Raw genomic sequence first — 13196 nt, 5'->3', positions numbered from 1 at the left:
GGAAACCACCATGCATCTCTGGACAGGCCACCAGGAGAGAGACAGATGCTGAGGACCAAGAACGCTTGGCCAGCCTGAGCAAGGCGTTTCAAAATCCAGGCCAGCAAGGGAACAGAGAGGCCCAATTTGGAAAGCAGTCCTGGCCCAGCCTGCACTCTCTGCCCTACTTGTCATCGAGTCACCATCATCCCGTGAGGGGCACTGCCCCTGAAGCAGCAAACTCAGTTGCTTGCTGTGACAGGCACTGCTAAGGTATTTAATCCTCCCAACAGCCCTATTAGGCAATGGCCGTGAGAGTTGTCATTGGACAGATGGGGAAACTGAGGCCAAGAGCACCCCTGCACAGTGCCTGGTATACCATAGGTGCTCAGCAGATATCCTCTGAGTGTGACCTGGGTGGACAGAGGGAAGTTAAGTCCTATGCTGGGACTTAAACCAAGCACTGGGCTCCAGACCCCCTGCTAGAACCACCACCCTCCGGCCTCTCAGCACATGTGCCAGGCCCTACCCTGGTGATGTTTCTAATCCTTACATAGAATCTACAAGGCTGATCTTACCAGCTCTGTGTCCAAATGAGGAAACTGAGGCTCAGAGACACAAACACACCTGACCAGGTTCCACCTGACTCCACAGGCAGCTTCCTTTCCCTCCCTCTGCAGACTCATTTGATGCAAAACTGGGTCTTGTGTTTGGAGGTTTCAGGGAGGGGCCCAGGATTTGTGGCTGGGGGGCCTGGGGAAGGTCGAGCCAGCAGTGCATGTTCAGGCAGCCTTACTGTTTACCTGGGGCCTCCTCGTCAGAGCAGAACACCCAGCGGTGGCAGAAAACAAGAAATGACTGCCTGCTGGCCTGGGGTGGGTGGGGGAATGGCGGGGGAAGCAGCTATCCAGGCTCACCCTGGCCCAGCCTTCCTAGGCTGTGGGTCTTAGAGAAATCAGGTTTCAGGGCACAAGAGAAGAGTCTGGGGGTGAATCCATGGCTTACTTTCACCAGGTTCCCCTGGGGGAAATGAAGGGAACCTCAGACCTGAGTGCCCCTCATTGGCCCTGACCTTGGATAAGTCTGGTCATCTCCCTCAGCTTCAGTTGGTCCACCTGTAAAGTGGGGCCTTCAGGGATAGGAGTGCCAAATCAGATACTTCCAGACTGTGGACTCTCACGCCAGAATCAAAGCCATGCTGGCCTCAGTCTCCTCATCTTTATTATTTTGTGTTATTATTATTATTTTTTGAGACGGAGTCATGCTGTGGCCCAGGCTGGAGTGCAGTGGCATGATCTCAGCTCACTGCAACTTCTGCCTCCTGGGTTCAAGCGATTCTCCCGCCTCAGCCTCCTGAGTAGCTGGAATTACAGGTGTGCGCCACCACGCCTGGCTAATCTTTGTATTTTTAGTAGAGACAAGGTTTCACCATGTTGGCCAGTCTGGTCTTGAACTCCTGACCTCAGGTGATCCACCCACCTCGGCCTCCCAAAGTGCTGGGATTACAGGAGTGAGCCACCACACCCTGCCAGTTTTCTCGTCTTTAAACGGGATAATGATACTTGTCTCAAGGGCTTGTCCTAGAGAGCAGACACGTGGGCAGTGTCCGGCACCATTGCCCTCATCATTAGACAAGTGCATCCATTTCTTAAACGTGCAGACCCCTGAGGCTGGGCCTGGGAACATGCATGTTCACAGGTGTCCCTGGAGGTTCTCACCACAGGGTCTGGGGACGTGACAGCTACAAAGAGTTCTCAAAGTACTTTTTGCTCTCATTTCTTCTTCTTTTTTTTTTTTAACCACAAAGCTACCATCCACACATGCTGAAGCACGACACCCAGGACAAAGGGAGGTGTGTTGAAGCGCTAATCCCCTCCCTTTCTTTAATCCGAACTTCGGGGGAAAATAATGGTGAAACAATTGGTGTGTATTTTACATTTTGCCCTCTTCTCAGATGAACACATTCAGAAATAGTTTGGGCTTCCTCTTCTAGTTCTATTTATTTTTAAATTTAATTATTTGTTTATCTTTCACTCTTTTTGTTTGTTTGTTTGTTTTTTAAAGACAGGGTCTTTCTGTCACCCAGGCTGGAGTGCAATGGTGCAATCATAGCTCACTGCAGCCTTGAACTCCTGGGCTCCAGTGATCCTTCCACCTCAAGCTCCTGAGTATCTGGGACTACAGGCACACGCCACCATGCCTAGCTAATTTTTTAAAAATTTTTTTGTAGAGATGGGGTCTTGCTGTGTTGCCCAGACTGGTCTCAAACTCCTGAGCTTAAGTGATCCTCCCACCTCAGCCTCACAAAGAGCTGGGATTATAGCTGTGAGCCGCTGTGCCTGGCCTATTTTATTTTTTGTAACCCAGGCTAGAGTGCACTTGTGTGATCAAAGCTTACTGCAGCCTCAAACTCATGGGCTCAAGCAATCTTCCCACCTCAGCTTCCCTAGTAGCTAGGGAGTACGCTCAGCTATGTTTTGTATTTTGTGTAGAGATTGGGTTTCATCATGCTGCCCAGGCTGGGCTTGAACTGGGCTCAAGTGATCCTCCCGCCTCAGCCTCATGAGTAGCTGGGATTATAGGCGCACAACACCTTGCCTGGCTTTTATTTTTTATTCTAATTTTATTAAAACAGGACTCATAACTATTCATGTTTTCTACATCCTTTTTGAGAGCCTCCTACATCGATACACTGAGCACAAACACCTGCTGCAAATGCCTCGACTGCTACACTGGAAAGATGGGGCTTTTCACCCCTTTTCCAGATGGGGAAACCAAGGCCCCAGCCTGAAGTGAGTTTGTGTCTGGAGGTTTCAGGGAGGGGCCCAGGATTTGTGGCTGGGGGGCCTGGGCAAGCGAGTCCAGGCCGTGGGGCTGCAGCTGAGAAGTAGAGCATGGTGACTGGGTAAGTGGCTGTTTGTTGCCAGGGCTGTGCCCACGGCGTGGCAGTCTTGGGCTCTGCAGACATTCCCCGGGGAGGGCACATGCAAGAAGCTGGCTGTGCCTCTGCCATGAGCCTCACGTGCCCCTCTCCCCTGCCCAGGCGGCAGGCAGTGGCTTTGGGCCCCTCCTCCCCGTCAGAGCGGCTAGCTGCACAGCCAGACCGCAGACCAGGCGGGGGAAAGTGCAAATGAACCCCAGCTGGCAGCTGAGTTTCTCTTTCCCGTCAAGCAAGTGCCTTATCGTACCGATGCAAGGCGAAGAAGGAGGTGGTGGTGTCGGGGGAGTCTGCAGGGAAGGGGGGAGCCACTGGTGCTGTTTTTATTTTCTTAAGGAATAATGTTTACACGTGAAAGTGCATAAACTATGTTGACTTTAAGTGTCCAGCTTGATCATTTTTTATACCTATATAGTCACCACTCAAATCAGGATCAAGGGCACCCTCAGCCTCCAGAAGGTTCCCTGGAGCCCCTTCCCAGTACACAAGCGACCCCCGGCCCCACTAGCAGAGGTAACCACTGCTGTGCCATCTATAAATAGCAGTGAGATTTGCCTGTTCTTAAACTGTACATAAACCAATCAGTCACTTGGGATGCGTCCCTTCTTGTCTGGTTTGTTTCACACAACACAACACGTGCGAGAGCGGTGCATGACGTGGTGTGTGCAATGGTTTGCAATGTTTTATTGGGGAGCAGTGTCCCATTGTATGGAGGTACCTCAATTTGTTTATCCATTCTCACTGTTGATGGATATTTGGGACGTTTCCCAGTTTGGGATTATTAGGAGCAGAGCTCCTATGAATATCTGTGCACAGATCTTGATGGGCACATGCTTTCTTTGCTCTTGGGTAAATACCTGAGAGTGGGACTGCTGGGTCTCAGCGTAGGTGAATGTTTAACTTTATAAGAAACTGCCCATGGTTTTCCTGCCTGGCTGCCAGAGCTGCTTTAGGAGCTCAGAGGTGTGACTGGTACAACTGCTTGGGGGACCCCAATCCACATCAGAGCAAACCTACAAAACACATCTATGGGCCACATTAAACATAGACTTTAGGTGTACAGCTACTTTTCAGAGAGGCTTTTCTAATTTTACTTTTTGAAGTTATTTGGCCCTGGACCGCTCTGCTGTGTGGGCCTGCTGGAATTTCCTGGCAATGGTATTTGGGTAGTCTGACAACAGACAGCGGAACCCTCAAAGTGTTTTTCATTTCCAGTGAGATTTTTATGAATAACGTAGTCCTTCCCCTTCCTCTGAGGCTTTGTGAACTCCTATTCACACCTCAAAACCCCACTCCAAGACCCACGCCTCCCCAAGTGACAGTTCATTTTCTATATTTATTTGTGTAATTATTTGTTTACTGTAGGCCTCCCCTTTGATGAGGAGCCCCCTGGGAGTGTCAGGCTCTCTGCTGTCCCCCCAGCACCAGCACAAGGCTTGGTGAATACTTGGGACATTTAAGATTTGCCAAATAAATGAAAGACCCAGGTTCTGAGTGCAGCCCCTCAGAGCCTCTCACCCCCACCCTGGACTCCTCCACAGAGGGGAAGCCTGAGACTCTTTGTAGGGACTCTCCTAGGTCATAGAGATGCTGAACTCCAGTAGATCTCTCTAATTACAGGGCCCACAGGGCCAGCAGTATAGATAGGTCACCCACTCCACCCAGCTGGGTGTGGGGAGGAGCCGCCCTGTCTGGAGGTGAGAGGGGCCCAGAGGTCCCACAGGTCCTTGCAGGGCCCAAGCAAGTCTGGGTCAAGACGCTGATCCTGTCTCATGATCCTTCCCCCGACTCCTCACCTGAACACCTCTGGACGTGTGGGGTCTTTTCCAGGTTTGCTTATTATTACTATTAATTTAAAAAGGAATAGGGCTGGTCATGGTGGTCCACGCCTATAATCCCAGCACTTTGGGAGGCTGAGGTGGAAGGATTGCTTGAGCCCAGGAGTTTGAGACCAGCCTGGGAAACATGGTGAGAACCCGTTTCTATTTTTTGTTTTTTAATTTTTAAGAGGAAAAAACAGAAAAAGTAGTAGCGTAAATGCAACGTGGGATTCTAGATTGAACCTTGTGTCTTTACCAGCCCTCTAGGTGATTCTGGTGCATGCTAAAATTTGAGAACTGCTAGTCCACTGAATATATTCCAGAGAAATTCTAGCCACAGCAGCACTGTTTATAATGGCAGAAAATTGGAAACAGCCCAAGTGTCCATCAAGAGGGAATGAAGGCCAGGCATGGTGGCTCACATCTCTAATCCCAGCACTTCGAGAAGCTGATGTGGGTGGATCACTTGAGGTCAGGAGTTCGAGACCAGCCTGGCCAACATGGCCAAACTCCATCTCTACTAAAAACACAAAAATTAGCTGGGCGTGGTGGTGCATGTCTGTAGTCCCAGCAATTTAGGAGGCTGAGGCATGAGAACCACTTGAGCCTGGGAGGCGGAGGTTTCAGTGAGCCGAGATTGTGCCACTGCACTCCAGCCTGGGCAACAGAGTGAGACTCTGTCTCAAAAAAACCCCCACAAAAAACAAGAGGCAATTAAGACAGTTACAAGGTAGGCACATAAGGATTACTATGTAACATAATATGTAACTTACCACTATGTAACAAGGCAAATAGAAGCGCAAGGCCCCTCTCTTCATCCAGGCATCTACGATGAATCTCACTCAGGTACCCCTCAGCGACAAAGCAAGTTATTATGTGAGACATAGAGTGTGAAGCCAGACCAAGATTTCAACACCCCAAAACTGTTCTCACTGTTCGGGGACACAAAGCTTTCAACACCTCAAAACGGTATTCTGATCATTTGGGGACACATACTTACACATATAAAGATGGACTTCGAATCGATAAACACCAGTGTCCAGGGAGAGGAGGGATGGGAATGACAGAAGGAAGGGGTAAATGAGGGCTTCCAATCTGCCGAGATTGTTTTCTAATTTAAGCCAGGGATTGGAGATGAGATACTTTGAATGCCTGAGAAGCTTCATTAAAATAATTTTTAATGGACACATGCTCTTTAAAAAATGATTCAGGCTGGGTGCAGTGACTCACACTTGTCATCCTAGCACTTTGGGAGGCTGAGGTGGGTGGATCGTTGGAGCCCAGCAGTTCGAGACCAGCCTGGGCAACATGATGAAACCCTATCTCTACAAAAAATAAACAAAATTAGCTGGGTGTGGTGTTGCACACCTGTAGTCCCAGCGGGAGGACTGCTTGAACTCGGAGGCAGACGTTGCAGCTGAGATGGCGCCACTGCACTCCAGCCTGGGCAGCAGAGCGAGACCCTGTCTCAAAAAAAAAAAAAAAAAAAATTTAAATAAACGAATTAAACCCAAATGAATGTTTCCTTTTAATGCTTTTAAAAGCAAAAAGCCACAATATATACATTGTCAGCCCCATGCCAGGGTACAGTGAGGCTGGCTCTAGCTTTGTGGTTATACCAGCAGCACTGCGATCATCTGTTTCGTATGTAGCCTCTGCTCATCTATGTGAGATCCTTTTCTTTTTCTTTTCTTTTTTTTTTTGAGACAGAGTCTTGCTCTATCACCCAGGCTGGAGTGCAGTGGCACAATTTCAGCTCACTGCAACCTCCACCTCCTGGGTTCAAGTGATTCTCCCGCCTCAGCCTCCTGAGTTGCTGGAACTGCAGGCGCCCACCACCACGCCCAGCTCATTTTTGTATTTTTAGTAGAGACAGGGTTTCACCATATTGGCCAGGTTGGTCTTGAACGCCTGACCTTGTGATCCACCTGCCTCGGCCTCCCAAAGCTATGTGAGTTTTTTTTGGGCTGTGCTGACCACAATAGAGCCTCGAGTCACATGTGGCCACTGACTTAAAACGTGGCTTGTTTGAACTGAGGTGCACTGTAAGGATGAAATGCACCCTGGATTTCGAAGACTAGGTATGAAGAGAAGTATGTAAAGTAGCCCAACCATTCTATATTGACCACTTGAAGTGATGATATTTTGGATATACTGAGTTAAATAAAACATTAAAACACCATTTAAATGACATAGAGCTCACATTTGTTTCTTGCATTATATTTCTTTCTTTCTCTACTCTTTCTCTTTCTTTCTTGAGATATAGTCTCACTCTGTTGCCCAGGCTGGAGTGCAGTGGTGCAATTATAACTCATTGCATCCTTGAACTCCTGGGCTGAAGTGATCCTCTCACCTCAGCCTCCCAAGTAGCTGGGACTGCAGGAGCATCACACCACACCTGGCTTTTTTTGGTCGGGGGAGGAGGGTAGAGACGGGATCTCACTATTTTGCCCAGGCTGGTCTCAAATTCCTAGCCTCAAGCAATCCTCCTGCCCTGGCCTTTCACAGCACTGGGATTACAGGCATGAGCCACCTTACCTGCCTGGCTTGCATTATCTTTCTATTTACTGACCCTGATCAACAGGATAGATTTATGCAAGCAGAATCAAGCAGAACTGCTCGGAGCAATACTACCCATGGAGATGTTGCTGAGATATGTGGTTAAGTGAACAAAAGTTGCAGAAGTGTGGTGTGATCCATTTATTCATCAAACAACTCCCTCCTCAGTCTCGTCTATTTTTCTTTTTTTTTTCACATCAGACGGGTAACATGCCAACCTTGTAACAAGGTTTGAGGGAGGTGCATCTTACACACCCTCGTGAACACCAGACCATCGTGCTTGGGAGCCACAAAACCACCTCATCTGTCATTCTCTGTTGTTGCACATTCCCACCAGCAAACAATCCTGCTCTGCTGTCCCGCTGGAAACCAAACCCCAACTAAACCAAATATTCTCCCGGCCCAGTTACGCTGCCAGCCACATTCCCGTTTTTCTGTTCTCTTTGGCAGTGAAAGTCCTTGAAAGAGTGGCCAGTGTTCCTTCTAAACCCCACCCCCAGGCTTGGCACGGTGGCTCACGCCTGTAATCCCAGCACTTTGGGAGGCCAAAGAAGGTGGATCACTGAGGTCAGGAGTTGGAGACCAGCCTGGCCAACATGGTGAAACCCTGTCTCTACTAAAAATATAAAAATTAGCCAGGCGTGGTGGCAGGCACCTGTAGTTGCAGCTACTCTGGAGGCTGAGGCAGGTGAATCACTTGAACCCGGGAGGCGGAGGTTGCAGTCAGCCAAGATTGCACCACTGCACTCCAGCCTGGGCGAAGAGCGAGACTCCATCTCAAAAAAAAAAAAAATAATAATAATAATTAAAATCAAATAAATAAATCCCACTCCCACCAGGTTTGCCTGGCCCCCACTGCTACACACAAACTGTTCTTCTGAAGGTCGCCAGTAACTGCCACATTGCCATGTCCATGGGTGACCTCTGAGTCGACCTCTGATGTGATTGACACAGCTGCTGCTTACCCCCTCCCCAGTGCCCTTTGTCCACCGGGCTTCCTGGACCCAGGTCTCTTGGTTCCTCCTACCTTCCTAGCTGCTCCTCCTCAGCTCCTGATTTTTTTTTTTTTTTTTTTTGGATACAGGGTCTTGCTCTGTCACCCAGGATGGAGTGCAGTGGCACGACCTCAGCTCACTGCAGCCTCAATCTCCTGGGCTCAAGTGATTCCCTGACTCAGCCTCCTGAGTAGCTGGGACTACAGTGTGCACCACCACACCTGGCTAATTTCTGTATTTTCTGTAGAGATGGGGTCTTGCCATGTTGGCCAGGCTGGTCTCAAACTCTTGAGTTCTTGAATTTTTTTTTTTCTTTTTTTGAGATGGAGTTTCACTCTGTCATCCAGGCTGGAGTTCTGTGCGTGATTTCAGCTCACTGCAACTTCTGCCTCCTGGGTTCAAGCGAGTCTCATGCCTCAGCCTCCTGAGTAGCTGGGACTACAGGTATGCACCACCATGCCTGGCTAATTTCTGTATTTTTAATAGAGACGCGGTTTCACCATGTTGGCCAGGCTGGTCTTGAACTCCTGACCTCAAGTGATCCGCCCAAATGAGCTTCCCAAAGTGCTGGGATTACAGGCATGAGCCACTGCACCCAGCCAGCTCCTGACTTCTTAATGCTTGGTCCTGGGCACTCTCTTCCTCTCCATCATCCCCTTCGTGCTTGAGGTAGGCAAAATAATGGCCCCAAAGATGCTCATGTGTGAATCCCTGGAACCTGTCAATAAGCTGCCTTATGTAGCAAAAGGGACTATCCAGATATGATTAAATGAAGGACCTTGAGATGGGGAGATTGTCCTGAATTACCCGGGTAGGTCCAGTGTAATCACAAGAAACCTCATAAGGGAAAGACAGAGGCAGGAGAGCCAGAGTCAGAGAGAGATTCGAAGAGGCTATACTGCTGGCTTTGAAGACAAGGGAAGGGGCCATGAGCCAAGGAGGAGGCCTCTAGAAACATGAGGAAAAACAAAAGGCGGAGAACAGATTCTCCCCCAGAGGCTCTGGAAAGGAATGTCATCCTGCTGGTACTTTGATTTTAGCGCCTTAAGACCATTTTGAAATTCTGACATGCAGAACTGTGAGATAATAGGACAGGCATAGCAGCTCATACCAGTAATCCTAGCACTTGGAGAGGCCGAGGCGGGAGGATCGCTTGAGGCTAGGAATTTGAGACCAGCCTAGGCAACACAGGGAGACCTCTCTCTACAAAAAGTAAGAAAAAAAGTAGCTGGACACGGAGCCAGGCTTCCATTCCAGCTACTCAAGCAGGCTGAGGTAGGATCACTTGAGCCTAGGAAGTAAAGGGTGCAATGAGCCGTGATCATGCCACTGCATTCCAGCCTGGGTGACAGAGTTGGGGGCGAAAAACCATAATGAACTCGTGCTGTTTTAAGTTACAAAGTTTATGGTACTTTGTTACAGCAGCAGCAAAAACTAAATCAGTGATCCTGGCCAGTCTCCTGATTGTAAACACTGACAATGCCCAAATATATCACTTCCAGGCTAAATGTCACACTCAGATACTCAGCTGCCTACTTACTGGACACCTCTACTGAGATGTCTGAATTCTGGACCCTCCTCCCAAGCCTTCTCCATACATTAGAGTTGGTGGCAATGCTATCCTTTGAGATGCTTGAGCCCAAAGTCTCGAAACCAGCCTTAACTCTTCTGTCCCTATCGCTCCCCTCATCCAGGCTGCTGGTGAGTCCTGCTGGCCCCATCTTTAACACACAACCAGATTCCGACCACTCCTCACCATCCTCCTCTACCACCCTGGTGTGAGCCTCCACAGCCTTGGGCCTGTGTGACAGCAACAGCCTCCCTGCCTCCACATCTGCCCCTACATTCTTCTCAGCACAGGAGCACAGGGGTCCTTAAGACAAAGAGTGTCACTCTTACGATCCCCATTTCATTTGGTGTAAAAGTCGAATCCTCAGGGAGGCTGACAAGGCCACCTATAATGTGGTGCCCCCCTCCCACCTCTGTGACTTCATCTCCTACCAACCCCCACCTCTCTCTGCTCCAGCCATGCTGGCCTTGCTGTTCCCTGGGCACAGCAGAAGGGCTGTGCATCCCCACCCCAGGGTTCCCCTTGTTCCCCCCTTGTCCCCACCCCATCATGTTCCCCTTGCCTGGAGCACTCTTCCCTGATGTCCTCATGACTAACTCCCTCACTGCCTTCAAAATCTGCTTAAATGTCACCTTCTCAACAAGGCCTGCCCTGAGCACCCTGAATTGCCACTTGTCCCAGTTACCTCCATCAGGCCCAAGGGTTCTCACTGTGCCCTACTTTTTCTGTGTTCCTTTCAATATAAAGTATCGTTTATCCATCTATCATTCTTATTGTTTTGCTCATCTCCTGCACTAGAACATAACTCCACGAGGGCGGGGATCTTTGTTTTGTTCATGGTGTTGAAAACAGTGCCCAGCATAGAGGGCATTCAATAAATAAATGAATGACTGGAAAGGTATCAGGGGTGAGGTGGGGTTTTTTGTTGTTGTTTTTTGTTTTGGTTGGGGGGACAGGGTCTAGCTCTGTCACCCAGGCTGGAGTGCAGTGGCATGATCATGGCTCACTGCAGCCTCAACTTCTCATATTAAGCAATCCTCTTGCCTCAGTCCCGAGTAGCTGGGACTACAAGCCTGCGCCACCACGCCCACCTAATTTTTGTATTTTTTGTAGAGATAGGGTTTCACCATGTTGCCCAGGCTGGTCTCGAACTCCTGGGCTCAAGTGATCCTCCTGCTTGAGCCTCTCAAAGTGCTGGGACTACAGGTGTGAGGCACCATACCCAGCCTTTAGAAAGGTTAACAATTCTAAAGCCACCATACGTGCAGAGTGAAAGGGAACAACTAAGTAAATGGATGGAGGATGGTAGGAGCCAGGCTTCCCACTGTTACAGATGAGCAAGGAGAGGTATTTAGAATGATCCATGTGATGACCATGGATTAGAGTTGGAGATGTTAGCATGAACAGGTTTAGCTAAAACAGTACCATAGATGGTTACCTATAGAAATATAGATTTGTGTACATACAGGTTAGTACACACACAGATTTCCTTGCTCTGTCCGCTAAGACGGCCAAGAAGCAACAGCACCCTACAGCCCTGAGCACATCTTGCACCCTGATCTTGGTTTCTAATACCATTCACCAATGAAAGGAACCAGGGCTCCTTGCAGAAACAGCTGATTCTAGGTCTAAGACAGGAAACAGACAAGATGAGCCTGGAGCATCTTGTGGTGCCAGAAAGTTAAGGAAGTGCTCAAAATCTCACAATGATGGAGTGTGTCACAGGGACATGGGAGATAACTGAAAGGCATCCAGTAGCCAATGCTGGAACAATTTGAGCAACAAAATACAGTAGAATTGGATTACACCCAAAGTATACAGGATCCATGGATCCATACTGATATAAATGAATGAATAAATAAATGGAGAAGAGACAAATCTCCAGGGTAGAAAATTCCAATAAGTGATGAAGATGCCCTGCCCTGAAGGAGGTGGAGCTTAACTCCCCATTCCTTAGGCATGGGCTGCACAGAGTGACCTCCTTCCAAAGAGCACAGTATCAAATGCAGGGGAAAACAGTAGCTCTGCTATAAAGAAACCTGACAGGCACTGCCTCAGCCAGGCATCAAGTTAGTCCTCCTGAGAGCACGTCCCCTTTGTAGGACGTGAGGAAAAGGGCACTCACCTCCTGGCTCTTCCTCCCAGAACACATAACCCCAGTCTAATCATGAGAAAAGTATCAGTCAAATCCCAATGGAAGCCAAGGACAGCGGCTCATGCCTATAATCCCAACACTTTGGAGGCCGAGGTAGGCAGATCACAAAGTCAGGAGTTTAAGACCAGCCTGGCCAACATGGTAAAACCCCATCTCTACTAAAAATACAAAAATTAGCCAGGCATGGTGGTGCTTGCCTGTAATCTAAGCTACTCAGGAGGCTGAGGCAGGAGAATCACCTGAACCTGGGAGGGGGAGGTTGCAGTGAGCTGAGATCATGCCATTGCATTCTAGCCTAGGCGACAAAGCGGGACTCCATTTCAAAAAAAAGAAAACAACTCAATTGAGTGACACTCTACAAAATACCTGACCAAATCAACAACCTAACAATGCATCCTAAAGAACTAGAAAAGGGCAATCCAAATCCAAAATTAGTAGAAAATAAGAAATAAAGATCAAAGCAGAAATTAATGAAATTGAAACAAAATAATACAAAAGATCAACGAAACAAAAAGTTGGTTTTTTGAAAAGATAAAATTGTCAAACCTTTAGCCAGACTAACTAAGAAAAAAAGAGAGAAGACCTAAAGATATAAAATCAGAGATGAAAAAGGCCAGGCGCGGTGGCTCACGCCTGTAATCCCAGCGCTTTGGGAGGCCGAGGTGGGCAGATCACGAGGTCAGGAGATCAAGATCGTCCTGGCTAACACAGTGAAACCCCATCTCTACTAAAAATACAAAAAATTAGCCGGGCGTGGTGGCGGGTGCCTGTAGTCCCAGCTACTCGGGAGGCTGAGGCAGGAGAATGGCATGAACCCGGGAGGTGGAGCTTGCAGTGAGCTGAGATCACGCCACTGCACTCCACCCTGGGCTACAAAGCGAGACTCCGTCTCAAAAAAAAAAAAAAAAAAGAAAAGAAAAGAAAAAGAAGGCATTACAACAGATACTGCAGAAATTCAAAGCACCATTAGTGTGGCTACTATGAGCAACTATATGCCAATAAACTGGAAAATCTGGAGAAATGGATCAATTCATGGACACAGACAACCTACTAAAATTGAATCATGAAGAAATCCAAAATGTGAACAGACCAATAACAAGTAATGAGATCGAAGCCTTAATAAAAAGTCTCCCAGGAAAGAAAAGCCCAGAACCTGGTGGCTTTACTGCTGAATTCTACC

The 13196-nt window shown here is 48.4% G+C and overlaps 1 long non-coding RNA gene and 1 other non-coding gene across 2 annotated transcripts in view, besides 3 other annotated features; both read right to left on the bottom strand.

Annotated features, from left to right (window-relative positions):
• Window positions 1–13196, bottom strand: part of LOC105371082 (uncharacterized) — a 146190-nt gene that overhangs the window by 94986 nt on the left and 38008 nt on the right. The gene's annotated exons all lie outside the window — the stretch shown is intronic.
• Window positions 1825–1874: an enhancer, noted in NCBI's record as "active region_10431". NCBI's record gives its function as "activates an Ori minimal core promoter by ATAC-STARR-seq in GM12878 lymphoblastoid cells {active_cell/tissue: GM12878}" and the evidence as "EXISTENCE:reporter gene assay evidence [ECO:0000049][PMID:35858748]".
• Window positions 2328–3011: an enhancer, noted in NCBI's record as "H3K27ac-H3K4me1 hESC enhancer chr16:11391651-11392334 (GRCh37/hg19 assembly coordinates)". NCBI's record gives its function as "activates a minimal SCP1, AML or CMV promoter by ChIP-STARR-seq in primed H9 embryonic stem cells {active_cell/tissue: H9 hESC(primed)}" and the evidence as "EXISTENCE:reporter gene assay evidence [ECO:0000049][PMID:30033119]".
• Window positions 3143–3322: an enhancer, noted in NCBI's record as "active region_10430". NCBI's record gives its function as "activates an Ori minimal core promoter by ATAC-STARR-seq in GM12878 lymphoblastoid cells {active_cell/tissue: GM12878}" and the evidence as "EXISTENCE:reporter gene assay evidence [ECO:0000049][PMID:35858748]".
• On the bottom strand, window positions 7492–7595 carry LOC124903805 (small nucleolar RNA U13). Its single transcript, XR_007065249.1, has one exon. It is a non-coding gene; the product is annotated as a small nucleolar RNA U13 (small nucleolar RNA).

Source organism: Homo sapiens, chromosome 16 (assembly GCF_000001405.40).
Source record: "Homo sapiens chromosome 16, GRCh38.p14 Primary Assembly".
Lineage (NCBI taxonomy): Eukaryota > Metazoa > Chordata > Mammalia > Primates > Hominidae > Homo > Homo sapiens.
The sequence above is the reverse complement of the archived record's forward strand: the minus strand, read 5'-3'. Positions and strand labels throughout refer to the sequence as shown.